A 26,643-nucleotide genomic window follows, 5' to 3' on the forward strand; every position below is an offset into this window, starting at 1 on the left:
GGCTCAGCCAGAGAGGATGAACTCCATCCTGTATCTGGTTGGGAGCCATGGGAACATGTGAGAGAGGGCAGTGACTTCATCATGTTTGAGCTCTATAAAGATCATTCTGAGTGCTGTGTATAGGAGATGAGAGTAGATATGGAGTCTCTAGTAAGGAGGCCAGTTCTGAAATCCAGGTGAGATGTGGTCCCTGGCTCCTGGCTCCTAGTCTCCCTGTGGCTTCTGGGATACAGAACAACTTGGAGAGAGAGAAAGCTTACCATAGCGAAGGTAAATGTCCAACGTGTCCCGAGACTGGTTTCTCAGACCTTTCCACAGGCTGTAGGAGTCTGTTGTTTTAGGTCTGCCCATGGTAACTTTTGGGTTAAAGCTCCTCTGTTGCCCTGTTTAATTGTCATCTCCCTCACCCATGGTATCTGCTGGCATGCTATTTTGTGGACTGTGGCTGACTTCACCTCTAGTTAGCTCCTCTGTGGCTACATTACACAGAACATCTGTATCTCTTTTTCACCCCCCACCTTAAAAATTATTAAATTAAGTTAAAAATTATTCCAGTTTTTATTATGTTGAAAACTATAATGTCCAAGTCTTTTCTTAGATTCATTTTATTTATTTATTTATTTATTTATTTATTTATTTATTTTTTGACACCAAGTCTCACTGTCTTGCCCAGGCTGGAGTACAGTGGTGTGATCTCAGCTCACTGCAACCTCTGCTTCCCAGGTTCAAGTGATTCTCGTGCTTCAGCCTCCCAAGTAGCTGGGACTGCAGGCATGAGCCACCATGCCTGGTTAATTTTTGTATTTTTAGTAGAGATGGGGTCTCATCATGTTGGCCAGGCTGGTCTCAAACTCCGGACCTCAGGTGATCCTCCCGCCTTGGACTCCCAAAGTGCTGGATTTACAGGCATGAACCACCACGCCTGGCCAGATTCATTGTTAATTAATACTTACTAATTGTTCACAATTGCCTTTTATTGTCTTGGTGGAACACAGAGATGAAAAAAATAGCTTCTTTCAGTTCTGTCTATGGTAGTTGATATAGATGACTTTCTGGAAGCAATTTTGTAAGCGGGAAGACAGCATGTAGGAACTTTGTCATGCCTTGCTCTGCTGTGGTACGGGACATGCTGGACCTCTGGTAAGCTGGGCCATTCCTTCTTATCCTGTCCTTGCTGCTCAGCCAGTGCCTCCTGTGTGAGGGGAACGGTGGTTTCTAAGTGTCTGTGAATGGGGGATCTGTGTGTGTGAGTCATCTCTGTGTGGGTTGTGGGTCCGTGTGTGAGGGGCCTACGTGAGGTATGGGATGTGAGTTCGTATGTGAGTGAAAGAAAGAAAGAGGATATAAGTGGGCGAAAGAGGGCAAGAATGAGGACTATGTGGGAGTGGCAGGGGGGTTGGGTGTGGCTTAGGAAACATTTTGATCTAGAGGCGTAGGGAAGTCCAGAACTCATCCCCTGCCCCCCAGCGGCTGGGTCTGTGGGTGACAGACTAATTTCAAACCTCCTAGAGCTAGGGCTGCTGATAGGCCACCTGCCGTGGTTTCTCTCAGGGACTGGGGTGGCCCAGCCTGCAGACAAAGACAGCAGTGGCTGCAGCCGGGAGGCAGAGACCTGCAGAGCATGATGGGGCTGATCGAATAGCTGCTTTGGTTGCTTTATCTGCTTTCTTAATGTAAGCCCAATTAAACGAACAATTATATAACATGACTGGATATAATTATGAAGTATTTATTGATCCTGTATCACGTGATGATATTGCTTTTCTTTTATTTGCGTCCAACTGCATGGCAGAATATATGGTTGCTGGTAGCTCCCATAGTTTTTTTGTCATAAGTCCAGCTACTTGAAGAGAGACTAATTTCTCTTTCCAGATTCTTAGAGAAGGAACTTAGCATCAGCTGGGGTCAGGTCTCCACCCTGGACCAGTCTACATGGGCCAAGGCTGTTGGCCAATCATGGGTGTGTTGGGTAGACATAGCTGCTTATCGGCCACTCCAGTGGGTTAGGAAGGAGCAGGTACCAGGGAAGGAGCCTATGGTGAGCTAGAAGACAACCCTGCAGATGGCCATATCATTTACATTCCATTTCATAGACTGTCCCCTGCCTTTTTATGATGTATGCTTCTTACCATGTCTGTATGTCAATGTGACCCCACCTCTTTCAAACCTGACTCAAATTCTTCTTTTCTGGGTGTGTTGAACTTATTTTACTCTTCTTGTTCCTTGATTCTGCCTCAAGATTCTTGCATTGTTGGTACTATATTTATTTACTTTTTTATGTATTTTGTATTTCCAAATAAAGATACAAGATAAAGATCTTAAAGGTCTTGTGCCTTCTCAGTAAATGCTGAGTCTTAATTCTTTTTGTTTTGAGACAGAGTTTCACTCTTGTTGCCCAGGCTGGTGTGCAATGGAGTGATCTCGGCCCACTGCAGCCTCCGCCTCGCAGGTTCAAACGATTCTCCTGCCTCAGCCTTCCTAGTAGCTGGGATTACAGGCGCCTGCCACCACGCTCAGCCAATTTTTTTGTATTTTTAGTAGAGATGGGGTTTCACTATGTTGGCCAGGCTGGTTTTGAACTCCTGACCTCAGGCCATCCACCCGCCTTGGCCTCCCAAAGTGCCACCGCATGAGCCACCGCATCCGGCCGAGTCTTAATTCTTGAAAGAGTAACTCTTTACTTTTCAGTACCACATAGTCCTTAACGGTAAGGTTTAGGCATCTACTCTAACAAAATTGTCAAGGCATCATCTTCTTCCTTGTTCTGCTTGCTTTTTTGGTAACATTCACCCTTGTCCAAGCCCTTTGGTAAAATCTTCCTCCTTCTCCTTCCATAGCTCCTGGAGCCCTGCTGACTTCCCTCTCCTACCTCCTTGTTGGCTTCCTCTTGGGCCCCTTCTCTGTCTGCTCTTCCTTCTCAAGGCTGCACACCCCTGTGGTCCCTGGTTCAGCTGAGCCTTCGTGCTTGTGGCAGTCTTGACTGTGTGCTTGCACACCAGCCTTAGCTGTCTGACAGCTGGCTAGCCACAGACATCCTAAACTCATAAACTTGTGACTCTCTGATTCTCCATCTCAGTCTCTTTCTCATGATCATAGTCATTTAGGCCAAGACCTCCATTGCTTTAAGAAGTTTTTATCCCCGGTCGAGTAAGAGTCACTCTAGCCTTCTTTCCAATGTGCACGTGTGTGCACGTTCACTCACTGATTGCCAGTTCCCACCAGCTGTATCTCTGGAATGCTTTGCCCAGGTTCACACTTTGTCTCCCCTGCACTATTATGATAGCTTCATTAATTAGTTTGTTTGCCTCGAATCTCTTATTTCCTCTGCCCTCCTCCAAAATGGCCACTGGAGTCTGGGATTCAGCTCACAGGTCTGATAATATCATGCCCATCCTCACTGCCCTTGTCTTGCCCATCGAATAAAGTGCCAGTGCAGCTGATCACTTGGGTCCCTTCAGAGTTATGGCTGACATCACTTATTGAGTGCCATTCTAGGCTAGATGTGTGTCACAACTATCCCACATAGTTTATTTGAACCTCACAGCAACCTTGCAGGGTGGATAGCAGTTTGTCCATTTTGCAGATGAGAGAGCTGACTCAGAGATGAGGAGGCCTAGACCTTGCCTCTGTCCTCCCTTAGGGACCCCTTTACATTTTAGTCCATACTGTGCTATTGTCCTGGGAAGGGATGTCTCCCCCTTCCCAGCCAGTAATAATCCTCCTTAGCCTTTACAGTGCAGGCAAGGGATACTGCTTTCTCCATGAAGCTCTCCCTGAAAGCCGGTAGTTCTTAACTTTTCCTTCTATCAGATTGCAATCTGCAGCTCTTTCCTGGTCACAGGGTCATCTGCCTCAGGGATTATTTTATGATCAACTCTTTGCACGTCTGCCTTCTGTGAACTGTTTACTCTTTTGGGGCATGGGGTGTCTGTTCCCACTTGTTTGTATGTCACTTCTAGTGTACCTGTGCTGTGCATGTCATAGGGATGCAGGAAGGCTGAAGCAACTTGAAGGGAATTTACCCAAAAGAAAGTGAACAGGAGTACTGTGTGGAATTCTGCATAGCAAAACATAGTTTTGTTGACATGAGGCACTTTGATGTCTGTGCTTATTCTTCTCAATTTTGAGGTTAATATATAACATCCCTGTATTTTGTGGTTAAATCCAGTTTACTCTTTTAAAAGTACCCCTCAGAGCCCCTTCACTTAGCGTTTGATGCCATTCGTTAGCACAGCTCCTGGGCTCCTGGGTTTCCTGGAGCAGGATGGGCATGTTTTGTAAAGGTACATAGGGAAATAAAGACAAGCTTTGTAGTTATGTAGCCAGGCCTCAGGGAAATGAGTAGAGGTGGGGAATGGAAAGGGCACCCAGATTCAAATAATGGAGCACTCCACCCGACGGGATATCCATGCCCCCTCTGCAGTGGGCACCAGCTGCTTCCCATCTGGTGCTCACTTGCCTGCCTGCATGGTCACTTAGCTCTTCTCAGTCTCAGCTTCTCTTTGTACCTTAGGGTCACATTCCCCAAGAGAGGATCTTTGGTGGCGTTTCCTTCCCCCATCATTGGCTGGAGCCCTCAAGACAGGTCTCCTTGTGGGCTGCAAGTGGTGGTCAAGTACCATTAAATAGGATGTGGACACCTGTTTGGCAGAAACTGCCAAGAGACACTTCTCCCAACAGGGTACTGCACGAGTGTTGGGGAAGTACATGATTGATGGCCTACCCCATACAAAGCCTCGCACTCACTACTGTAGGGCGTGTAAAGATGGAGAAGACACTATCCCTGCCATCAAGTGGCCTAAAACCAGTAACAATGGGGCCGGAAACACACCTACTGTTCACAGAAGGAAAAGTTTCCTATCAAATGATCATATCTGTGTTTTCCAGATAGAGTTACCCACCAACCTCATCTAACCTGTACTGAACTTGAGTCACACCTTTGACCTAATTTTTGCTTAAATGAAATACAGAGGATAGGAATAATATAAATAATACTAAAGCTACATGTTAACTCAGATGCTATGCTGAATGCAGTTTTGAAATCTAACCTTTATTATTTTTATTAAAACTTTAGTAAAGACACTGTCATTGAAATGTGATTCCCCACAATTACAGTTAGAAAAATGTGAATTTAAAAAATGTATTTTGCAACCCATAATCTGTATTGCACATATATAATCTTGCTACTCACCTGTCTTTGGCAAGTTTTATATTATTTTTTCTTTCCATGAATCGCTACGAACCTTTTTTTCTAAGAGAAATGAAGAATTAATTTTTTTCTTTTTAGAAATTCCGGGATTTCTTTAATCAAAATGAAACCAGTGATCCAGCAAGGGATACATGTGTGATCCTTACAGTGGAAGGGAGAACATTTCCGGTGGATATCTTTTATCTACAAAGGTTTGATGATGCTTGAATTCTGGATGATGGTGTTTAGAAAACTCAGCCTCTGATGTAGAATGTCAGAACTGCATTTGCTCACAACTCTAAAGGATGGGGAGGAGCATGTTTTGTGTCCCTAGTCATTGGTCTAGAATGTTCTTACCCTGCTCCGGATCACTGCTGAATTTAGTTTAAACTGTTCACACTGACATGCAAGTTTCCGTAAGTCTGTGGCCAGTAGCTCAGCCAGAGAGAGCAAAAGTGGTGAAAGGTTTTGGGGAGGGAAGCTTGATAGTTTTCAGAACTGGGGTTTACAAGGCTGCCTGTCAGCAGGGGCAGTATTGGTGATTTGAATCATTTGGCTCTCAGTTCTCTACATCCCTAGCGAGAAGGCCCAGTTGGCATTTTTAGGAGTAGCCTACTTGGACAAGGAAGGGGCCATCCTAATTCCTGTACTAGTCACTGGACAAAAAAAGACCAGGAGCCTGTTCCAGTGGCTGATAAATCCAGAGTCGTGGACTTGATTTCTGAATCGTTTTGTTGGAGAGCTCATCCATCAGGGCCATCCAGCCGACCCATAGATGCTGCTATTGGTTAGGAGGGAAAATGGGCTGGGAAGAGCGTGGGCTTCAGCACTGGGACCACAGCTTCCGATTTTCACTGGTCTGATGTCTTTGCATACTAAAGATAGCACATCTATTTGTATGGGTATATCATGTTATTTCTTTCCAAATAAAGCTAAAAATCATAGTTGACATATAATTATGGATTATTCTTGAATATTAGATTTGAAAAAAATGAATATTTATTTTGTTTATCCTGTACTAATTACCTACTGGGCAGGCCCAAACTCACTTTGATGAGCTTTGCTGCCAGATTATTAGGGTAATTGATCTGTAATTAATGAGCATATTCTAGTGATGAATTCATCCCATTTGTCTTTTCAGTCCTGTTCCAGATTATATCAAATCAACTGTCGAAACTGTGGTGAAAATTCACCAGACAGAGGGAGACGGAGACGTTTTAGCATTTCTTACTGGCCAGGTAATGCCACTGTACTTCTCTGATGAATAGACATGTTAAGACAGCACCAAAAGTAATACAGAGCCTTGTTACTTTACTCAGTCATGTATTTCATGTTTTGTTGTATTTTGTGGTTCCATAATTGTGTAGAAAATTGATTTGATGTCATTCATCTACCATCTAGATTGTCAGGGACTCGTTAGCCCCTGCCTGTTCTGTCTGCAGAGGGTTAAATGTTTTTTTAAATGTATTAGCTGATTCCAAAATAAACTAGGTAGTTGAGTGAGGGCTATTTTGTTTGCCAGAATTGGATACTACATTAGGTCCATGTCCTGCACACATGTTGCTGCTGTGTACCTCTTTTTCCAGTGACACCTTTACAGCTCATCCTGGAGGTGATAAGTGGCCATATTACTGGTAAAACAACTGAACAGACCCAAGTGCTCGCTGACGGTGGCCAGCACTATTCAGACCTGCCCTCCAACTGTAATCTTTTCCACTGCCAAACACTTTCCATGGTTCAGTAATCTTTTTTGGAGAAAGCTTACAGTGATTTTATATGCTGCAACTTGTCTATATGCATGAGATGCTTGTTTGACACCGTATATGTATGCTGAGTAAAATAGTCATCGTTTTTATTTATTGGGAACTCTTCCATTCATTGCAGATCATACCGAGTTTTTAGTAACTAATAGTGTAGTTGCAAAATTTCACCCATTGTCATCATTGTGTATTAGCATTTAATTAAATACCATCCCAGAGTGGAACATGACGGCACTGAAATTCTTGAATCTGACCAAAATTAAAGTCCAGATCCCAACTTTTATTTTCTTTCAGTATGATAAAATAGCATGCTTTAAATTGATCTCGGTTTCTTTGGTTCCTGGTTCAACGTCTTTAGGAAGAGGTAGAAACTGTTGTGTCGATGCTCATCGAGCAGGCTCGAGCACTAGCTCGCACTGGGATGAAGAGACACCTCCGAGTTCTCCCCATGTATGCAGGACTGCCTTCCTTTGAGCAAATGAAAGTGTTTGAAAGGGTGTCACGCAGTGTCAGAAAGGTGAGACTATCCTGATGACCAAGGGTGTTGGCAGCCGTCTATAATCATAATGATGCTCCTTTACTTGTTTTGAAACTTGCTAAACACAAGGCAGACTTCTAGGTCCATATTTCTGTGTAGTAGATCTAAAAGCACACAATAAATAATACATTGTGAAGATTTCTTTTTTTTTTGAGATGGAGTCTCGCTCTGTTGCCCAGGCTGGAGTGCAGTGGCGCGATCTCAGCTCACTGCAAGCTCTGCCTCCCGGGTTCACGCCATTCTCCTGCCTCAGCCTCCTGAGTAGCTGGGACTACAGGCGCCCGCCACCACACCCGGCTAATTTTTTTTTGTATTTTTAGTAGAGACGGGGTTTCACTAAGTTAGCCAGGATGGTCTCGATCTCCTGACCTTGTGATCCGCCCACCTTGGCCTCCCAAAGTGCTGGGATTACAGGCGTCAGCCACCGTGCCCGGCCTGTTGTGAAGATTCTAAACCTGTCCCACTGAAGGATCACTTTGACAGTAGTTATCAGATCAGGTGACTTCTCTTTTCTTCTCTTCTGCCTTCCTAATATTTCCCACGACACATGCTTACTTTGGCTTAAGGGATTGTTTAGGGGGATTGAGGTCAGTCAGGAGCAATAGAAAAATTGGTACACATGGTTTCTAAATAATTTGTTTTAAGTATCAGCTTGCCTATTTTAAAGGGCCAAGTTTAAATCAATTAATTCAAGGTGTGGCTTAAAAATGTTTAGCCTTGAAGTGAGAGTGAGGAAGGGTGTGGTGGAAAGCATTGGTTTGAAGGAGCTGGCAGGCAGCCAGTCCACCTGGGCCTGACTCTGCCTTTTCCTTTCATTAGATGAGGACTGCACAGAACCAGCCCGAGGACAGCTTTTACTGTAGTAGCTATTTATCAACAGATGGCAGAGAATAGAGCAGGTGAGGGATGGTCTGAGGATCCACTCCCAATTTCAGACCACCTGGAAGAGGGTGCTCAGCCCCTTGACCATTGGGATGGAGCAACATGAGTCTGCCCTGTCAAACATTAATTGCAGCCAGCCAATCAGGAGACCTGGATTCTGCCCCTGAGCTACTATGTGCCTTGGGACAACTGACTTAACCTCGAATCTGAGTTTTTGCAGCTGTAAAACGTAAATAATAATAACTTTCAGATAGGTGGTTTTATAGCATAACATCTTAATCCCAACTACATAAAAATATTAGAAAGATTATTTTATAAAATGATCATTTATAAAATAATTTTTATAAAATGATTTATAAAATGTAAAGTGCCTGAAAAAAGTTCTAACTGCTATATATATGTGTCCCCTGCTACTTAAACCCTTCAGGGGCAGCTCCCAATGTACTGGGAATAAAATTCAAATACCTCATGGTGGCCCAGAGACCACATATGATTGCATATCTGCCTCCCTCTGCAACCTCATCTTGTACTTTGTATTTTGGCTGCACTGGCTGTTTCTCCTTCCTTTGAACTGTTTCTTATTCTTGGATCTCTATAGGGTTGGCTGCTGCTTGTTACTCAGGTCTCTGCTCAAAATCTTTCACAGAGGCTCTGCCTGGCCAACAAAAGTAAAGTAGCATGCCCTATTATTACAATAATATATAATATACATGTTATATACTACATCATATCATATTGCCTCATTGTGTTAATATTTTCTTTATAGTATTTGTTGTTCTCTGAAATTATCTTCTTGTTTATGTTCAGCATGTCTTCACCCTAAACACTCAAACTAGAATGTAAACTCTGGCAGAGCAGGGGCCTTGTCTGTCTTGTTTATCCTACATCCCAGCACCTTGAACAGTGCTTGGCAAAGTGCACACCCTCAGAAAGTAATCATGATATGAATGAATAAATGACTATACCTGCGCAAGATGGAGGGTGATTTACTTTGGTTATGCCAAAGGGAAAAACTAACAAATGCTAGGCTCTGATCACTTTATATATTAATTGTATATAGTCCCTTCAGTAGCCCTAGGGGAGGTGGTAAATCTTATTATGTAGATGAGGAAACAGGTTCAGGAGGTTGAGTAACTTGTCCAGGGTCACATGATTAGGGAGAATTCAAACCCAGGGCACCCCCTGACTTGGAAACTCACAGTCTTTCTAGTATATTAAACTGCCTCTCACAGATTCTGCAATGTTGGAAATGTTAAATCTTTTAGGATTTTTACGAGTTTGTTAAAAGCAAAAAGAATAAAATGAGTTTTATTCTTCTTTCTGTGGGGAACGTAGGTGATAGTGGCCACCAATGTGGCAGAAACCTCTATCACAATCAGCGGCATTGTGTATGTGATCGACTGTGGCTTTGTGAAACTCCGAGCCTACAATCCCAGGACAGCTATTGAATGCTTGGTGGTGGTGCCAGTCTCCCAGGCATCAGCTAATCAGCGAGCAGGACGTGGTGGTCGTAGTCGCTCGGGAAAATGTTATCGCCTTTATACAGGTTAGTGTGGCTTTCCCTAAGGGTTTTTGACTTTCTTATAGTCAGCCTGGGCAACAGAGTGTAGCAAATGTTTACTCCTAATGGTAGAACTTAACATAAAATACAGGCCTTCCTCACAAGGCCCTGTGTAATCAGATCCCCACTGCTTTCCTCACTCTAAATATGGTGTTTCTTTGTTACTAGTCCCCATTGGCCAAAGCTGGCCTGTGAGTGACTGCTTATTTGCTATCCTGTTCTAACCTAACATCTGGGCACAGGCCTGTGTAGCCATTTGTCCCTAGGGTGTGGGCTGTGTGTCCTGGAGCCTGTCTTTCTTGCCTTTCTTTCTTGACTTAATGTGCTGTTTTTGTATTCCAAGATCCCTGAGTCTTGCGGAGCCTCACATTGGGTTCCCCTTTTACTTCTGGTTCAGAGCATCTTTGCCAAGTGAAAATGGAAGGTCTGTCCGGAGACTCATTCATAGAAAACAAATAGTTGGTGAGCTCCTCCTCTGTGCTGTGCATCATGCTAGGCTCTGAGGGAACAGAAGGCAATTTTAATACTGTCTCAGCCTTTCTGGAGCTTTCTATCCAGCTTGAAGACAGCCTTACCTATAGACAGTGATGGACCCAGAGCTGCTCTTTCTCTGCACTTCTCTTCTGTGGGGAATGCTGCTGACATTTTCCCCAGTTGTCCAGACTCAATTTCCAAGTCATTGTTAATTCTCTTCTTTATCCAGTATCCATCTGCATTCACTTAACCAGGCCCAGGGTTTTTTATTTTGTTTTGTTTCTTCTGGTGTGGCTGCCCCTAAAGAAGGTCCAGGGGTTTTAGCTCTGCCATTTGTCTCTTCTTTTCCTTTCTGGTTATTATTGTCCTTGTTCAGTCTTTGATGTTGATCTTTCTTTTAGCAGATGTTTGCAGAGCACCTGCTGTATGCTGGCCACGGTGCTAGAGCTTGGAGATCTGGGGCTAGTAACCATGGTCTGTGGCCACAGTGACTGACAGTCTGGTGGTGGAGGTAGACCTCAAAACAGATCAGCATATTATGGTATGATAGGGAGCCATAAAGAATCGGGAGCCTTGGAAGCAGAGAGCAGAGGCTTTTCCTTGGGCTGTTTTCCCTGCCCAGCAGATCTTCCTTATCTTTCAAATCCTCTCTCAGATGGCAGTTCCCTCATGAAGCTACCTTAGATGCCTTCTCCTAGAAGCTGGTGTTATCCTTCTGGGGATTTGGGGAGTACTTCACAACCAGGGTGTTGTTTGAGCCTGATCTTACTGGCAATACAGTCCTTATCTAGGCGAAGAGGTGATTGGGGAGATTCAATTTCAGCGCACCAGGCAGAGGGAATGGAAGGTACAAGTACTTGCAGGGAAGGAAGTGGGTTTGGAACATTCACAGAAGGGAGGGAATAGGCAGAACCCAGGGCCTGAGGACCAAGGGCAACCACTGAAGATGCTAAGAAGGAATGACTAGAGTGGAAAAGGGAGAGCCAGGACTGAAAGGGATTCTGACATGCAGAGAAGGTTTCAAGACATTTTTCTCTTCAAAAATTATTTATTGGGGTGAAATTTACATAACACAACATTAAACACATTAAAGTGAACAATTTATTATATTCACAATGTTGTGTGACCACTGCCTCCATCTAGTTTCAGAACATTTCAGCCACTCCAGAATAAAATCCCTTATGCTTTAAGCAGTTTCTCCCCATTCTTTCTGGCTACCAGTCCCTGGAAATCACCAACCTGTGTTCTTCTCAATGGATTTCTCTCTTTTGGATATTTCATATAAAAAGTCATACAATATGTGACCTTTTGTGTCTGGCTTCTTTTAGCATAATGGTTTTGAGGCTTATCTACATTGTAGCATGTACTTCATTCCTTTTTATTACTGACTAATATTCTGTTGTATAGATAAACCACACTTTGTTTATTCATTTATTAGTTGTGGACATTTGGGCTGTTTTTGCCTTTTGGCTATTGTGAATAGTGCTGGTATGAACCTGCATGTACATGTACTTGAGTAGGTGTTTTTAATTCGTTTTGGCTATTACAGGGTTATATGTAATTTTGTTTAACTTTTAAGGAGCTCAAGTTACTTTTAAAGAGGCCAGCATTATCTCATGTGCCAAGAAATCATGGACTAAAGATAGGCAGGTGGATTTGGGTGAAAAGTCACTGAATCCCTTTGCATGAGCAGTTTAGTGGAAGTGGGGTTGGGGAGGGCCCCTGACTGTAATGAGTGCATTGGTGTCCAGCCTCTAGGCCTCCACAGGAGCCTCCAGAAAGTATTGCTTTGAACAGGGTACCACCTGCTCAGACCCTCCACATTTTCTCAAACCATCCAGGATTTTTCCTCAGCTTATCTTCTCCTACTAACCACTACAAATTGCTTCTCAGCTGAACTACTACACGACATGCTCTCTGCATGAGAAACGCTTAGATACCTTTTCCTTGAGCTGTTTCCTCTTTGCCCAACAGATCCTCCTTGTCCTTCAAATCCTCCCTCAAATGGCAACATGCAGCTTCCCTGGAGGCCTTCTTCCAGCCACCCTGCTTCCTCCTTCCCTGAGCCTCCATTTCTCTTTGGGAGGACCACTCCTTGGGACTTTTCCTATTTCTCCTTGAGGGTCAACTGTTTCTGGTCCAGGTCCCAGGCCCCTGCATATCACTGAAGCTTTTCAAGGGGATTGGCTGTGACTCCTACAGCTTCTGGCCCCATGCTTCACACACTTGAGTCCTCAGGAGAGCTTGCCTGTCATTGAACTTTTAGGAAACACCCACTTCCTGTGAGCTTTTCAGCAGGGTGGTCCTCTTATGTGTTAACTTTGTTTCTCCTTTGGTTAGTAGTGTGCTTGGAAAATGGGGTTATCCTATCAAGAAGCTGTACCCCAAATTCTCTTGAAACTAAAGGAAGTAGCTCATTTGGAACTTCCTGCTGTTGGCCGTCATCCAGAACCTTCTAGTTAGACCCAATTTGTATCAATTAGTCCACAGAATATTGGTTGTCTGTTTTCTCAAAGAAAACCTTTCTGAAGTTTTTCGGGGATAGTGGTATTTCTTCATGGCACTTTTTTTTTTTTCCTCTAGTTAACTAAAGCTTTATGATCTAAATGGAAGTTGGGTCACCCTTGTATTGTTTAAGAAGGGTGTACATCAGTTACAATGTTGACTGATGTGGGAGGTTTTGGTGGGTGGAGCATTCTCTATATAATCCTTAAGCTTTCTGAATATACATGAAAATGAGTTAATCTCTTCCTCTTTTTTCCCCACCCTTCCTGCCTAGCTTTTATAAAAAGGCCTTCTTCCAAAGTCTCTTCTCCTTCCCCCTCCCTTTCTGCCCTTCCTGTCTTGGGATCTCTGTGTCTTAGGATGCTTTTTCCTGTGTAAGGTCACCTCTTCTTCCTGGTAGGGCATGTAAACATTCATTTCTTGGTTTGGGGCAGCATTGGATTCTGGGAATGATATTGTGTACCTGGCTTGTTGATTTAAAAATTTGATTTGGACAATTTTTGCTCTTTATAAGATTTGGTCATTTGTTGTATTTTGGTGATTTATCTTGAAATTGTTCTTTGCTTGTATGTGAAGCTCTTGCTTCCTTGACTTATTCCAAACAGAGATGGTGGCAACTGGGAACTGATAGTGATTCAGCAAGTACTTGTTGGTTTGATTTAATGTTTTGCTGACAAAAAACATTAAAAAACAGAATTTTAGATAAAGTTTTATAAAGGTGTATTCAAATATATTTATCTAAGGCATTTTAAAAATAGAATGGTCTTTCCTAAGTATAAAAATAACTTTATATCATGGTATCATGTGCATCTGCTTCTAGAATCCTAGAGACCCTTGTTCAAGATAGAGAAGAAAATTTGTCCCTTGGCATAGTGATTGCATTTGATTGTGACATTTGGTCCCAAACAGTTCTGATTTCCTATCCTCAGAGGAAGCCTTTGACAAGTTGCCTCAGTCTACGGTTCCTGAGATGCAGCGTAGTAATTTGGCACCTGTCATCCTGCAGCTGAAAGCACTAGGAATTGACAATGTCCTCAGGTTCCACTTCATGTCGGTAAGTCCTGCCTGCTGTCTGGGGCCATAGGGAGGCTAGGGAGCTCACAGGGGGATGTCAGGACATTGTCGTAGGGCATGCCATCTTTCCTTTTTTTCCCTACTCAGGTCATGTGTTGTGTGTCTGCTTTGCAACCAGGCCCTGTGCAGGACGTAGGGGAAAACAGCCAGACAAGGTAGCCTCAATTCCTATTCTTACATAGTTCCTGTTCTTGTCTGCTGGGGAATAGAGACAAGTAAGTGGGTAATTACAGAGCAGTGTGCCCAGGGCTCTGAGAGACAAAGGAAGGGCCTCCCAGGTGAAACCTGAAACCCAAATAGAATCTCACCAGGTTAGGAGTGGAGAGTTCCAGGACAGCTAGTCTTTGTAGAGGCCTAGATGCAGGAGTACCATGATTGGGGGATCCTTCCTGCAGCTTTAGATAGAGCTGCAGGAAGACCCTTGTGCCTGATTGCTTCCTGAGATGATTTCTAGGAGTAGAATGACTGGGTCAAAGGGCCGTTGTCCTGTTTAGGGTCCTGTTACATGGCCAGATTGCTTTACCAATGTCAACTCTAGCAGTGCCTGAATGCCCACCTTGTGGTACTTCCATTGTGCCATGTTATCTTCTTTGGGTTTGCTGATTTGATTGGCCAGAGAGAGGAAATCACCTTTATTATAATTATTTTTAAATTTTTCATAAGATAGATTTTTATAAAAACATTTATTAGTCAGTTTTTATTTCTTCTGAGTTGTTAAGCTATTTATCTGTTAGAATTTGTGTCAGTTAGTGATTTTCAAGAGTCCTTTGAATATTAAAGACATTAATTTTTATAATATTTCTTACAAATATTTTCTATTTATATTTTACTGTTTTTTTTTTAATGTGTGGACATTCTAAACATATTCACAGTAATCTATTTTTGCCTTTATGATTTCTTTGGCTATTCTTTTTTTCTTTCTTTATTTTCTGAGACAGTCTCACTCTGTAGCCCAGGCTGGAGTGCAGTGGTGCCATCTTGGCTCACTGCAACCTCTGCCTCCCAGGCTCAAGTGATTCTTGTGCTTCAGCCTCTTGAGTGGCTGGGATTACAGGTGTGTGCCACCACGCCTGGCTAATTTTTTATATTTTTAGTAGAGACAAGGTTTTGCCTTGTTGACCAGGCTGGTCTCAAACTCCTGAGCAGGTCAGGTGATCCACCCCGTCTGGGCCTCCCGAAGTGCTAGGATTATAGGCGTGAGCCACCACCCCCGGCCTCTTTGGTTATTCTTGCCCTTATGAAGTACTTCTTATATTTGGGTCAGTTAATACATATTCTCTCATATTTTCTTCTAGAATTTTTATGATTTGAGAACTTTGTTTTTTCCCAACTGTATATGATATGACAAGTCTGGAAAGTCTGGATTCTTGGATAGTAAAGTCCCTAATGTCATATGTGATGGTAAACTAGGTGAATGAAAGAATAGAACATACAAATATCAACTCCCCCAAAGAAAATTGTGTACTTACCATAAGTATAGGGAAAATGGACCCTTTGATTATTGGTGTAGAGTAGAAGATATTATAAAGAAAAGATAAACAGGCTGAGCGTGGTGGCTTATGCCTGTAATCCCAGCACTTTGGGAGGCCGAGGCAGGTGGATCACTTGAGGTCCGGACTTCAAGACCAGCCTGGCCAACATGGTGAAACCCCGTCTCTACTAAAAATACAAAAATTAGCCAGGCATGGTGGCATGCGCCTGTAGTCCCAGCTACTTGGGAGGCTTGAGGCAGGAGAAACGCTTGAACCCGGGAGGTGGAGGTTGCAGTGAGCTGAGATTGTGCCACTGCACTCCAGCCTGGGCAATAGGGTGAGACTCTTTCTTAAAAAAAAAGAAAAGATAAACAGTATGTGCTGATTTGAAAGCTTATGAAAAGCCCCGCATGTAAAATTAAAGAAAAACATACAGTGACAGAAATGACAGATCAGTATCTCAAAAAATATGAAGAGTTTTTATATGCACATCATTTACAGTAAATATTCACTAAATAAAGCTAAAGGAAAAAAACAGCACAAATTCAAATTTCAACTATCATTAGGACATGTTGAGCTTCTCTAGGAGAGAGGTGACTGCACGTTGATATAGCTATAAAGGATGACTTTACACTAATTTTTTTTTTTTTTGAGACAGAGTCTCTCTCTGTCACCCAGGCTGGAGTGCAGTTGTGCGATCTCAGCTCATTGCAACCTCTGCCTCTTGGGTTCAAGTGATTCTCGTATCTCAGCCTCCCAAGTAGCTGGGACTACAGGAAAGAGCCACCATGCTCGGTTAATTTTTTGTATTTTTAGTAGAGACGGGGTTTTGCCATGTTGGCCAGGATGGTCTTGAACGCCTGACCTCAGGTGATCTGCCCACCTTGGCCTCCCAAAGTGCTGGGATTACAGGTGTGAGCCACTGTGCGCAGTTGACTTTACACTAATTAAATGATTGAGTATAAACAAAAATGGTGAAATCGAAAACTGCCACAATTTGGGAAAGTAAATTCCTCCCATGTTATACCGTTTCTGTCCCCATGGAGGACTTTCTGACAACATTTAATGAGCCGTAGAAATGTCTGCTATTTCTTCTCATAAAAATTTCTCCTGAAAAAATAATTCAGAAGAAGAAAAAAAGCTTACATATGTGATAATGCTTATAGCATTTATATTACATTTAAAAATATAAATAATGAAAATTATCGTAAAACTTTTGGACAGTTGAAAAATGAAAAAAAAAATACAAATTTATCTTCACATATTTCCTTCTGGTTATTATCCCCTGAAATTGTGGTTTTTATGATTGAAATTACAGAGTACATATAATTTTGTATATTTAGCAATGTTATTTACAATGGTGAAAAACTGGAACAATTTAATTGCCCAGCAATAAGAAAATTGACTTTTTTATGGAGTATGATTGTCATAGAGTATTATGCAGCCATCCCAAGTAGTTACTGTGAAGTTTGTATGGGTGCAAGAAACAATGAAAACAGAAAAACATGTAGTGAGAAGACCACACTAAAACTATACATAAACAGTAATTCCAGATATGTTAAAACAGTGTTTCTGTATTATCCCAAATCAGTTGAGGTCACAGAGAAATACTAGTGAATGTGATTAGATGAAAATACTATGGATAAGATTTTTGTGGAGAGGGGGATAAGTTTTTTTTGTTAATTGACTGGAAATCGGGCCAGGAATTGAGTCAGAGCTGACCTTGTTAGCTTTTTCTGTAATTGTTAAAAGCCTAGTTCAGAGATTGCTATTCCTGTTACCTCATCCACTCTCAGTATAAAAGATCCCACAGGGTTTAAGCTCCTTCATTTAAGTGTTGCCCATTTTGCTTCTTTGTAGAGAAAGATGTTGTAAGCACCAAGGAAGGGCTAGTGGATCATTTACATGATTTGCTCAATGGTGATTTGTTGAATCCTCTCTGTGTAATGAATCCAATAGGTTTAGTTCCTGCCCTCGTGTGTTCACCTGTGTGTACGGTCACTACAACTTTTAAAAAAGTTTAACTTTGGTCTTTGGCAAACAAAGTAGGGAAGGTAGACTGGGAAAAATGAGGCCTGAGTTCAGCTTTGCCACCAACTGCCTATATGACCTTGTTCAGCTGTCTTTTCCTTATTGCAGTTCAGTTTCCTCATCTGTAAAACTGAGCTAAAACAATGTGATGAATAAAATACATTTGTTATGTGAATGCATTTAGAAAAAAATGCTATGTGAATTTAGAAAAAATGCATTTAGAAAACATCCTATGCAGTTTAAAAATGTACTGTAATTTTATTACCTGGGTTATTAGAAACCACATAATTTAGAGAGAAAAAATATGATGCCTGGCACTTAGGTGCTCAGTCAAGATTTGTAGAAGGAAAGGAGGTAAAGATCTGGAAAATCAGACTGAGGCTCACTACATCAGCTTTGCTTATGAACTTTAAGGTCTCTAGAGCTATTATTTTTTGAAATTCAGATTCGACATATGTTGTAGTTTCCAGACAGGGATTAAGAAAAAACAAATTCAGCGTATGTTATTTACCCACCACGGGGCCTGGAGTGGGTCTATGGGGGATGCAAAGATAAATCATCCCCGAGCCCTGAGTGCTGCAGTGTCCTGGGGCCCCGGTGTGGTAGAAGGTTGAGTCTGTGAAGTAAAAATTAGAAATGTCTCAGGAGGGTTTAAGGAAAATGAAGAGGTAGTTTAAGATAGGGACCTATCACGTCTGATGGAGGGGAGGATGAGGGAGCACTTCAAAGGGAAATGTTTCATCAAGCTGAGCCTTAAAGGCCAAGCAGTACAAGGGTGCCTAGAAGGACAGGAAGGACATTTCAAGAGGTGCCAACAGCAAGAACAGAAACATGGAGGCTGGGAAGAATGGGGCATGTTAGAGGGGAGAATGGATTTGAAAAGGAAACAGCCACATTTTAATGTTTGTTGCCCAAATAAATTGATTCAGGAAGATTTTTATGTTTTTTCCAGCCCCCTCCAGCACAGTCGATGGTTCAAGCCTTGGAGTTACTGTATGCTCTGGGAGGTATGCCAGTTTCTCTCATCATTCTCTCTTATTATGTGTTGTCTTTTGTGATATTAGTGAGGTCATATTCACTTTAGGGATTTTAGTATCTTCAGGAATGGGATTGGTTCTCCCCATATATATAATCCCCCTAATGATACTTTATTGAAATAGGAAGTTGGGACCATAATTAGACACATGAAAGCTAATTATGACAGCCAGTATATAAAACATGCCAGTTCGTCAGAAGCTATTAGTAAGAATCACCAGGGCTACACTCCTAAGAGATGTCTAGAGATCAGCAGTTCCCTACCAGGATGTCAGATCTTACCTCCCCAGACCTTTTTTCTCCACCCAACAACCACATCCTTAAAAATCGTGGCTCAGTATTCTCTCCCTAAATCCTCTTCATTTCATTCCTGGAGTTGCTTGTGGAGAATTGGGGACATTATCAGCTTCTAACACCATGTTACGGGGGAACTTCTATTCAGTTGTCGATTGAAGATGTTATTAGGTTGGTGCAAAAATAATTGTGGTTTTTGCCATTGAAAGTAATGGCAAAACCCGCAATTGCTTTTGTCCCAACCTTAATAGCGTTTATCTTGACATAGAGAAAATCATAGTCTGAATTCACCGCTTTGGGGAGTACTGTTTCTTCTGTGATTGGTACCACAAATGAATATAATTTCCAATTTTGAATTAAGTTTTAGTGGAGATTTTGCTTTTTGAGATTTATTTTGAGTGTTACTTTTTTTTTAAGTAGCTGTATTGAAGTATAGTTTATGTACTATACAATTCACTCGTTTACAGTGTACAAATTCAGAGGCTTTTAGCATATTTTCAGGGTTGTGCAACCATCACCACAGTCTAATTGTAGAGCATATTCATCACCCAAAAAAGAAATCTTTACCCATTAGCGCCGAACTTCTCATTCTCTTTCCCCCTAGTCCCCCAGCCCAAGGCAACCACTCTCTGGTTCAGTCTCTATAGAGAGTTTTTATCTCTATAGGTGTGCCTTTTCTGGACATTTCATGTAAATGGAATTGTATAATATGTGGTCTTTTGTGATTGGCTTCTGTTTCAGTCTGTCTGCTGTTGCTATAACAGAATGCCAGAGGCTGGGTAATTTCTAAAGAGGTTTATTTGGGTCACGATTCAGGTGGCTGAAAGCTCCAAGATTAGGCAGCTGTATTTGAGGAGGGCCTCAGCCTGCTTCCACTCAAGGTGGAAAGCAAAAGGAGAGTGGGCGGGTGCAGAGATCACATGGCAAGAGAGGAAGCCAGGAAGAGAAACAGAGGAAGCCAGGCTCTTTTAAGAACCTGCTGTCATGGGAACTAATCCATTACTCACCCTGGGTAAGGGCATTAATCTGTTCATGAGGGATCACCCTCATGACCCATACACTTCCCAGTAGGCCCCATCTCCCAACACTGTCACGTTGGGGATCAAATTTCAACATGAGCTTTGGTGGGGACAAACTACATCCAAACCATAGCAGCTTCTTTCATTTAGTATCATGTTTCACAGGTTCCTTCATGTTGTAACGTATATTCATACCTTATCCCCTTTTATCACTGAATAATATTCTGTTGTATGGATATACCACATATTTTTTATCCATTCATTAGTTGATAGACATTTGGGTTGTTTCCACTTTTTGGCTGATATAAATAATGCTGCTATAAATATTAGCATATAAATGTGGTTTTGGTGGACATTCCCACCAGCAATGTATGAGAGTTCCAGTTTTTCCACATTGTTGCCAATGCTTGTAATTGTCTTTTGTGTTATAGCCATCCTAGTGGGTGTGAAATGGTATCTCTTGGTTTTGATTTGCGTTTCCCTGATGAGTCATGATGTTGAGCACCTTTTCGTGTGCTTGCTGCCCATTTGTAAATCTTCTTTGGAGAAAAGTCTGTTCAAATCCTTTGCCCATTTTTATGTGTGCTGTTGTCTTTTTTTTTTTTTTTTTTTAAATTGAGTTGAAGTTCTTCATACATTCTGGGCACATATTCTTATCAGATATGTGGTTTGTAAATATTTCTCCCATTTTTGTGTTTTGGCTTTTTACTTACATGTACTTACTTTTTACTTATTAGTATTGTTTGCAGTACAAAAATTTTAAGTTTTTGTGTGGTTCCATTTATCTGTATTTTTCTTTTGTTACGTGTGCCCTTGGTGTCATGTCTAAGAAACTTGCCTAACTTGTAGTCATTAAGATATTCTCCTAGGTTTTATAGTTTTGGCCCTTACATTAGGTCTGATCCATTTTAAGTTACTTTTTTGGTATGGAGTGAGGTAGGGGTCCATCTTCATTCATTATGTTGATTTTACTTCTCTGTGAATAGCCAATTACTGATTTAAAAGATCTCCAGTGATTTAAAAGACCTTCAGCTGGATTTACATAAGATCAGCCTGGAGTGAATGTGTGTTGGAGAAGGTTTCCACCCCCTTCTTCTCAAGCATGTAATGGGAACTCGAAAGCACATTTCCTGGGCTGATCTGTAGTGAGGATGAGAGAATGTTGACAGCATAGGAGTTTTTATTTGGGCTGGTTTTTCTCCAGTCAAACAGAATGAAATTTAAGATATTTCCTATTTCTTCAATACCCTAAATAAGCTGGAAAAGATAGAGGGACCCCCCGCCTCCCCCCGCCAGCTTCATTTGATTTCAAGCTGAATTACCACCTTTAAAGAGATGTCTTACTGAGCTCTGCCTTACTGTGAGATCTTGCAGCGTTTAAGTAGTAAAACAGTAGTCTATATCTTGGGAATCCAATACCTGGATATTGGCAAGGTATTGCCAATAGAGGGCAAGAAGGGCAGGTGGGGAGTTGAAAGAGTCAGCCCAGTTCAGCAAAATGTTCAGGAGGCAGTTGCATGAACAGGGCTGGTGTTGGCACCAGAGGGATCTGGGTTAGTGTTTAGATTCCAAGTTGCTGGCCCTGTAGTTGCTCATTGTTGTTCTCATTGTGGCTAATAAAGAGATACTCAAGACCGGGTAATTTATAAAGGAAAGGTTTAATGGACTCACAGTTCCACATGGCTGGGGAGGCCTCACAGTCATGGAAGAGCAAAGGCATGTCTTATATGGCAGCAGGCAAGAGAACTTGTGCAGGGGAACTCCCATTTACAAAGCTATCAGATCTTGTGAGACTTATTATCACGATAACAGTATGGGGGAGACTGCCCCTGTGATTCAGTTACCTCCACTCGGCCCCGCCCTTGACATGTTTACAATTCAAGGTGAGATTTGGGTGGGAACACAGCCAAACCATATCACTCATTTAGTATGAGAAGGGCACAGGACACGGGATGCCATCGATACCATCCTGGCACATCTGTGGCCTGTCCGGTCCTGGAGGTGGTAGAAAGTCCAGACAGTGAGGGGGCAATGGAGATGGCAGAGAACCAGGAGAGTTGGGGGCCGGGAGCTGGCGAAGAGTAGTTCCAAGAAGCAGCGGCCAGCAGAGCCGAGTGCTGCTGAGGCCATCAGGAAGATGCCTTGCGTTTGGTGCTACCCAGTTGTTAGGTTCTTGGGAAGAGTGGTCTCTTCGGAGTAGTGGGAACAGGTGAGGCTCTTGTGGATTGAGGAGAGGGTACAAGCAGGAGAAGGCTGCAGGGGGATTTCCTTATAATTAAGTCCTTGAATAGAAGTCTTTAGAAGTATCAGTTTTTTAAAAAATTGGGTATTCAAGAGCTCAGTGGAGATCTTTTCTTCTTTTAAGGTAATGGCACTCTAGTGTCAAATGGAGTTTGGTGTAGTGCATGAATCATCTTTTGGATACTTTCTTCTTTTTAGCATACATTATCTTTTATTCTCTCAGCAACTGTGTGCCTTCCAACACAATGGTACCTGCCTTCTGATTTCTTTTGTTGTTCTTATGGCAGGTCTGGACAAAGACTGTCGCCTAACTGAACCGCTTGGCATGAGAATTGCAGAGTTTCCTTTGAATCCCATGTTTGCCAAAATGCTGCTTGAATCAGGTGGGTAGAGCCTGATAGCTTGAATTGATTTTATTTTGACTGTCAGAGGTGTTGTTTGCCTGAATTCTGAGCACCCTGGGGAAGAGGGTACAATATGGTAAAGAAGTATATATATATCTGTAACATAACATTTATTGTTTTAACCATTTTATGTGTGTAGTTCTGTGATACAAAGTACGTTCACATTGTTGTGCAACCATCAGCACCATCCATTTCTAGAACTTTTTCCATCTTTTCCATTGAAACTCCATACTTGGTAAACACAAATTCCTTATTCTCTCCTCTGCCCCGCCCCTGGCAACCACCACTACTTTCTGTCTCTATGAATTTGACTGCTCTGAGAACCCTCAGAAGTGCAATCACACAGTATTTGTCCTTGTGACTCTCTTGTTTCTGTTAGCATAATGTCTTCCAGGTTCATCCATGTTGTAGTATGTGTTAAAATTTTCTTCATTTTTAAGGCGGAATAGTATTTTATTGTATATCTATACCATGTTTTGTTTGTTTATCTGTTGACAGACACTTTGGTTGCTTCTAACTTTTGGCTATTGTGAATAATGCTGCTATGAACATGGATACACAAATATCATTTTGAGTCCCTGCTTTTATGTTTATTGGGTATATAGCCAGAAGTGGAATTACTAAATCATGATAATTCTTTAATTTTTAAAAATGTATTTTTAATTGACAAATAATAATTGTATATATTTATGAGATAGAGTGTGATGTTTTAATCTATGTACACATTGTAGATTCAGTCAAGCAAATTAACATATTCACCAACTCACCAACTTATCATTTTTTTTGTGCTAAGAATTTGTGCTAAGAATGTTAAAATTCTATTCTCTTAGCAATTTTGAAATATACGATACATTATTATTAACTGTGGTCACCATGCAGTGCAATAGATCACTAAAACCTATTCCTCCAGTCTAACTGAAACTTTGTACCCTTTGATCAACACCTCCTCTTTCTCCATTCACCCCCTGACCCAGGGGATCTCCCAGCCTCTGGTAACCACCTTTCTACTCTCTGTTTCTATGAGATTGACTTTTTTAGATTCCATATATGAGTGAGATCATATGGTGTTTGTCTTTCTGTGCCTGCCTTATTTCACTTGGCATAATGTCCTCCAGTTCCATTTATGCTGTCATGAATGACAGTGTTCTCTTCTTTTTTAAGGCTGCATGTTATTTCATTGTGTGTGTACATATTTATATAAACCACATTTTCTTTCTTCATTCATCCAGTGAATGGACACTTGGATTGCTTCCAAATTGTGGCTGTTGTAAATAATGCTGAAATGAATATGGGAATGCAGATATCTCCTTGAAATACCAGTTTCAGTTCCTTTGCATATATACCTAGAAGTGTGATTGTCAGAGCATATAAGTCCATTTTTAGTTTTTTGAGGTAGTGCCCTACTATTTTCCATTAATAGGTGTACCATTTTGCATTTCTGCCAGCAGTACACGAGGGTTCCAATTTCTTTGACTTCTTCAGATTTTTGTGAGGACATGGGTTCTAGGTTAAAAGATCTGGAAGTCTTCTCGTAATTAGAAATCAAAGTCATCTAGAAAGTATAATTTGTTTTTTTACCTCTGGGAAAGACAGTTTAATTTTTTCTTGGTTTTGTCTAACTTTTATGTCAACTAGCAATTTATGAAGATGTACTTTAGACCCAGTATGGGGAAAGCTAACTAATTATGTTTTGGAACAACCACTTGTTCTCAGCCTTCCATTTAGAAACAGGATTCTTTTTTTTTTTTTTTTTTTTGAGACAGTGTCTCACTCTGTCGCCTAGACTAGAGTGCAGTGGCGCAATCTCAGCTCACTACAACCTCTGCCTCCTGGGTTCAGTTCAAGCAATTCTTGTGCCTCAGCCTCCTGAGTAGCTGGGATTACAGGCATGTGCCACCATGCCCAGCTAATTTTGTATTTTTAGTAGAGATGGGGTTTCACTATGTTGGCCAGGCTGGTTTTGAACTCCTGACCTCAGGTCATCTGCCCGCCTTGGCCTCCCAAAGTGCTGGGATTACAGGTGTGAGCTACCACACCTGGCCGAGAAACAGGATTCTAAGTGTGGACTGGGGAAGTGCATCATTCATGAGATGGGAGGTAGTGGGGAGATGGGACGAGCAGTGTAGTGTACTCTGCCTTGTGCCCTGGAGTGGTGATTGCTGGTGACTGTTTCCAGGCGTTCCAGCAGCCCCCAGCGTGCTTTGCTGGTCTAGTTGTGCCTTGGGCTTCCCAGCTGAGATGAACCCTTTTGAGAAGGAAGCCACTTCATAGAAGGGGTCAGGAGCAGAGAAACAGCAGAAGGGGCACAAGCCGCTCATTCCCTGTCCCCTCTCGGACTTCCTGCCAGGATTCCAGATGTTCCCACAGGAGGGTAGGGAGCAGGTGCGGAGCTGACCTGCCCTTAGTGATGGGGCCAGTCTTGACCTTGGCTTATAGTCAGAGTCCCCTATATTTCAGCTGCAGAGGGCAGTAACACCTCCTTTTTTGGAGTCCTTCAAGGCTACTATTCATCTGGGTTACATATGGGACTTCACATTTGGCTGAGTGAAATATTTTTATTTTATAAACTTCATTTTTTTGTTTTTATTTTTCTGAGAGAGGGTCTTGTGCTGTCACCCTGGCTGGAATGCAGTGGCGTGAACTTGGCTCACTGCAGCCTTGACCTCCCAGCTTTAAGCAATCCTCCTGAGTAGCTGGACCACAGGCACATACCACCATGCCTGGCTAATTGTTTAATTTTTTGTAGAGATGGGGTTTTGCCATGCTGCCCAGGCTTATATACTATACACTTTAAAAATTAAGCTCTAGAAAAAATATGATCTTAGTCTTCAGTGTGGTGCAAGGAAAGTATCAGAAAATGTCTTTCACTTCTTGTTGGCACATTATATGGTTGAAACCAAACATGCTTTTTGTTTTACAGGAAACTTCGGCTGTTCTCAGGAAATTCTAAGCATCGCTGCCATGATGCAGATCCAGAATATCTTTGTGGTCCCCCCAAACCAGAAGTCTCACGCAGTAAGTCAGCTCTGTCCCCAGGCTGTCTGTACCAGTCTCTTTTGCTTTGAGCTTTCGTTGTCAAAACTGTACTCAGGAACTGCTGAAGACAGAGCTGTACAAATGTGATCTGCTCATGTTTTGAGTGTTTATTCCGTGCTTGATGTTGTGTCAGGTGTTTTGCAGGCATCATTCCACTTTATCTTCATTATAAGCCTGGGAAGTAGATATTATTATCATATTTTATTTATTTATTTATTTATTGAGAGGAAGTCTCGCTCTGTTGCTCAGGCTGGAATGCAGTGGCGTGATCTCAGCCCACTGCAACTGCACTCTGCCTCCCAGGTTCAAGTGATGCTCCTGCCTCCCATGTAGCTAGGATTACAAGCGTGCTCCACCACGCCCGGCTAATTTTTGTATTTTTAGTAGAGATGGGGTTTCACCATATTGGCCAGGCCGGTCTCGAACTCCTGACCTCAGGTGATCCGCCCTTGACCTCCCAAAGTGCTGGTATTACAAGCGTGAGCCACCGTGCCCGGCCTATTATCATATTTTAAAGATGGAGGCATAGAGAGGTTAGGTAACTCATTCACAGTTGCACAGCCAGAATTGTTGGCTCTGGATTCACAGTCCAGAGCCCCACACCTTAACCATTGAACTACCAACTTCTAGTTTCTGTCAGGGAAATTGTCATTCAGACTGCTCTGCTAGAAACCTTGGTGGGCACATTAGTGACATAAGAAGTCAGGTGCCAGGGTATAGCAGGCTGATTCTGGGCACCACACGACATCATGGTCATGTTGCAGGTGGGCCATTATAAGCTAGAGAGATCCAATCCCCACCTAAGGTGCAGGCATCAGCAATGACTAATTGAGTGAACACTGGAAAGACGGAAGGACAAGTTTTGATACTGAAGAGATAGATACTCAGAAGTAAGGTGTGTTGATAGAGGTAGGTCAGAGATGAGTTCAAAGTCAGTTCCTGTTTGAAAGTCAGAGAATTAGCAGCCTTATGCATGGAGGGGCTGAATTTGTATGTGTAATGAGGAGGAGAGAGACTTTCTTAGGGATTGTTGGGATCCTCCTTGTCAGTTGTATAACTATAGATTACAAAGTTTTTCTGCCTCTGTGCCCAGATGCTTATGTCTGTTTTTGTTTAGTTTTGTTTTTAA

General features: G+C 42.2%; 1 protein-coding gene across 11 annotated transcripts in view; it reads left to right on the plus strand.

Annotated features, from left to right (window-relative positions):
• The window catches only part of DHX35 (DEAH-box helicase 35), a 77,378-nt gene that overhangs the window by 34,099 nt on the left and 16,636 nt on the right, over nucleotides 1–26,643 (plus strand). For 6 of the 11 annotated variants that reach the window (NR_033905.2, XR_007067474.1, NM_021931.4 and 3 more), the window contains 8 exons: nucleotides 5,288–5,400; nucleotides 6,330–6,426; nucleotides 7,307–7,465; nucleotides 9,704–9,914; nucleotides 13,838–13,962; nucleotides 18,438–18,492; nucleotides 22,362–22,457; nucleotides 25,399–25,493. Coding sequence is in view for 8 of the 11 variants with exons in the window: in NM_021931.4 (NP_068750.2) it covers nucleotides 5,288–5,400; nucleotides 6,330–6,426; nucleotides 7,307–7,465; nucleotides 9,704–9,914; nucleotides 13,838–13,962; nucleotides 18,438–18,492; nucleotides 22,362–22,457; nucleotides 25,399–25,493 (951 nt within the window). In the remaining 3 variants the exon portion in view is untranslated. Of the gene's footprint in view, nucleotides 1–5,287; nucleotides 5,401–6,329; nucleotides 6,427–7,306; nucleotides 7,466–9,703; nucleotides 9,915–13,817; nucleotides 13,963–14,069; nucleotides 14,138–18,437; nucleotides 18,498–22,361; nucleotides 22,459–25,398; nucleotides 25,494–26,643 lie in introns of those variants that run through there. The other 5 variants (XR_007067475.1, XM_011528974.2, XM_047440355.1 and 2 more) reach the window with 5 other exon arrangements.

The sequence above is a fragment of the Homo sapiens genome, chromosome 20 (genome assembly GCF_000001405.40).
Source record: "Homo sapiens chromosome 20, GRCh38.p14 Primary Assembly".
NCBI lineage: Eukaryota > Metazoa > Chordata > Mammalia > Primates > Hominidae > Homo > Homo sapiens.